The 3,776-nt window shown below is 38.7% G+C and overlaps 2 annotated features.

Moving 5' to 3' along the window:
• Positions 928-1,675: an enhancer, noted in NCBI's record as "OCT4-NANOG-H3K27ac hESC enhancer chr9:41696501-41697248 (GRCh37/hg19 assembly coordinates)". NCBI's record gives its function as "activates a minimal SCP1, AML or CMV promoter by ChIP-STARR-seq in naive and primed H9 embryonic stem cells {active_cell/tissue: H9 hESC(naive and primed)}" and the evidence as "EXISTENCE:reporter gene assay evidence [ECO:0000049][PMID:30033119]".
• Positions 1,709-2,492: an enhancer, noted in NCBI's record as "OCT4-NANOG-H3K27ac hESC enhancer chr9:39552263-39553046 (GRCh37/hg19 assembly coordinates)". NCBI's record gives its function as "activates a minimal SCP1, AML or CMV promoter by ChIP-STARR-seq in primed H9 embryonic stem cells {active_cell/tissue: H9 hESC(primed)}" and the evidence as "EXISTENCE:reporter gene assay evidence [ECO:0000049][PMID:30033119]".

Raw genomic sequence — 3,776 nt, forward strand, 5'->3', positions numbered from 1 at the left:
ATGACACATACTGCAATTAATTAAATTTGAGATAATTTGATTATTAAATTTGAGATAATGACTTTGAGCAAACTTATCAAAATTTATTATAATAACTCTTTTAAATTAATCGCATTTTTATTCATGTGCTATGTTAAACCACATAATCAAACTGAAACTTTAAGAAAGTACACAGGTCCCAGAACAGAGCAGTTTTTCCTCAAGACAGGAAATTCCGGTCTACCTGAGTCAGTGCAAAAAGGAACTTTTCTCTGCTTTAACCCTTACAACAAATTAACCTGGATTAACCCTGATCTTAACCAATCAGCTTTTTGTCTATTGTTTTGTTTAATTGTTCTCATTTTACAGGAGCTACTGTTCTTCCATTGTCTGTGAAAGCTCTCATCCTATTTTGTAGAATGCAGGCTGCCCTGATTCATGACTTACAAATAGAAGCCAATTACATCTATAACTAAATTTGTTCTAATTTTGTCTTTTAAAAAGTTATCGTCATAGGCCAGGCACAGTGGCTCACACCTAAAATCCCAGCACTTTGGAAGATCAAGGCAGGCAGATTGCTTGAACCCAGGAGTTTGAGACCAGCCTGGGCAACATGGTGAAACACAGCTTCTACAAAAAATAACCAGATATGGTGGCATGAGCCTGTAATCCCAGCTACTCCAAAGACTGAGGTGGAAGAATCACTTGAGCCCAGGAGGTCAAGGCTGCAGTGAGCCATGATCACTACAGCCTGGGCAACAGGGCAAGACTCTGTCTCAATAAAACAAACAAATAAACAAAAAACAGTTAACATCATAAATTTTGTTTTTATTAAGAAAGGGCAACTTAATACTTTCCTAGCTCTTGAGGATGTAAATTGGTTATCTAACATATATTAATGTCTCAAATATAGTATTTTTTTTTAAAATATGTTTGTGTAGAATATGGAGTGAATTAAGTTAAAATCCAGATAAATATTTTCATTATCTTGCAAAGTTTCCAAAATGCTATGTGTTTTTGCATATAATTATTTACAACTTATTTTTAACACATTACTTCAGCCTACTAAGGATCCAATGACATAGCCTGGATGTTTGTCTCCTAAACCTCATGTTGAAATTTGAACCCCTGTGTTGGAGGTGGGGCCTAATGGGAGGTGTTAGGGTCTTGGGAGCAGATCCCTCATGAAAAGATTGTTGCCCTCCCTGGGGAGAGGGGATGAATGAGCTCTCTGTTAGTTCCCAAGAAAGCTAGTTGTTACAAAGAGCCTAGCACCCCCTCCCCCCTCTTTCCTCTTTTCTCACTATGTGATCTCACTACATGCTGGCTTCCCTTTGCCTTCCGCCATGTGTGGAAGCAACATGAGAAATTCACCAGAAGCTGAGCAGATGCTGGTGCCATTCTTCCTGTATGGGCTGCAGAATCATGAGCCAAATAAACCTCTTTTTTTAATACATTTTTTAGTCTCAAGAGTTTTTTTTAATAGCAACACAAATGGGTTAAGATATTCAATGCAATGGTTCATGCCAAAAAATACTTTGCTATCCCATGTCACGTTATAGACTTCAGGAGAAAGGACGTTTAGAAGGCATAAAGACATTTACAAAGCACAGTAGTCCCTGTTTTTATTAAAACACATCATTGCTCTATCTAAGTATTTGCTCTGGTTCTGTAAGTGACTGTCCCAGCACACCTCTGGCCTTCAGGTTTATTCTATTTTCCCAGCACAGCACAGTTTTGCTAATTTGTAAAACTCCAATTTCTCATGAAAATAATCAGATTTCTGGTTTCTCATAAAAAGAAATCATAGAAGACCTGGTCACACTGGGAGGCATCCCTTATAGGGTAGGACTATGCCCTTTCAATGAGCCAGGCTCTGTCCTGAGAGACACCATTCCCTCCCAGCTCCATTTACTCCTTACCTCTCCTTGAAGGCTTTTACCTGCTATGATCTTTAGCAACTCTGCTGCCTTTGCTTGCAAGAGAAGATTAGGCATATAATTAACATTTCAGTAGCAGATCAGGCAGAGTCAGAATGAGGGCTTTTGAAACACATCGCAGCATTCATTTACAAGTGATTAGTGGTGGCCACAGGACTGGCTGTCGCTGATTTGCCTTGCTTTAGGAAGCCATTTTTATCTTCCCTCTACTTCTGGCTGTTGGAATATTTCCATCTTCCAGCATATGGCACACTTAGTTCCTGAGGTTTTTGCTCCCAGGAAAAGAGAAAGTCCCCAAACTTAATTTTATCCTGGGAAGAGCGCATCTAAACCTTTAATTCAGAGCAGATGATCACTAATCCTAGCATAGTCAGACCTAAGCAGGCAATATTTAGGGACAGACAAACTTTGAAATAATAGCAACTGGCTATTGTATCTCTACTAAAACTCTGCCTCAAGCGTAGACATGGTTTTCTCCTATAAATCTCACCCTTAGGAACTGACAATTTGCCTTAGGTCAGGATGATATTAGTTTAGCACTCACAATAAGTTTTTCTGGAAATTTAGAATGGTAACAGAAGTTTATATTCTTAGGAATAAATATAAACTATTTTCTTCCTACTATGTTCTGTGTGTCATTGTGGCTGGTGAATAAAGAAGGGACAGACACTTTGGGAGGCCGAGGTGGGCTATTATTGTTGTGATGAGGAGTGATGCCTATGAAACCTTTAACATAGTGCCATATACAGTAACAACTCAGTAATATTTAGTTATTTGTATTATTATGCCATCTCCAAGACACCTCACCACTAGTCTCTAGAGTATCACAAGTAAAACTATGTGGAATCTTCCACTCACTCCAGTTTCCACTCTGGCAATCGTGTGGTCTATAAAATATACTGTCCTCTTTCAGACCTGGAAGTGGAAGGAGGCTGCACACATTTGAAAGAAAATTGTCCAATTAAATTCATTATCTTTATGACATAGATATATGGAAAATGGATGTAAATGCAGGAGATTTGTTTTTAAAAGTTGAATAATAAATTCCGCTGAAATACAATGTCATTCACTATGTAGGCAAATAACATCTACAAAAATTTAGGTAGAGGGATGTATACATCTGTTAGGATATTCTAGAATGACTTTTTAAAGGTTATGCTGTAAAAATGCCACCAGGTGTTAGAAATAGATCAAACTGTGTCAAACTTTTTTTTTTTTTCTTTTTTTTTTTGAGATGGAGTCTCGCTCTGTCGCCCAGGCTAGAGTGCAGTGGCGCGATCTTGGCTCACTGCAAGCTCCACCTCCCGGGTTCACGCCGTTCTCCTGCCTCAGCCTCCCGAGTAGCTGGGACTACAGGCGCCTGCCACCACACCCGGCTGATTTTTTTGTATTTTTAGTAGTGGCAGGGTTTCACCGTGTTAGCCAGGATGGTTTCTATCTCCTGACCTCGTGATCCGCCAGCCTCAGCCTCCCAAAGTGCTGTGATTACAGGCGTCAGCCGCTGCGCCCGGCCTCCTCCATAGCCCTTCTAACAGAAGCACCAAATGACAACTCTAGAAGAAACATTTACAACTCTTTCCATTTTTCATCATACCTTTAAATTATAGGATGTCATTTGATGGTTTATTTCAGTGGTCTGTTGTTCTACTTGGTGGTCTATTTCATTATAAAATATATCTTTTATGACAGTAAACCACTGGACTACAGAGTCATGATAATTTCTAAATTTTGCTGCTGACCTCTAGAATCACAGTCTATAAATAGTCTGACTTTATATCACTCCTATAAATGTTGTCAGGTTAGGGTCAAGTAAATAATTAGAAAATAATTCAGTATTTTTTTAATCAAGCATTATGA

Source organism: Homo sapiens, chromosome 9 (genome assembly GCF_000001405.40).
Source record: "Homo sapiens chromosome 9, GRCh38.p14 Primary Assembly".
In the NCBI taxonomy this organism is placed as follows: Eukaryota; Metazoa; Chordata; class Mammalia; order Primates; family Hominidae; genus Homo; species Homo sapiens.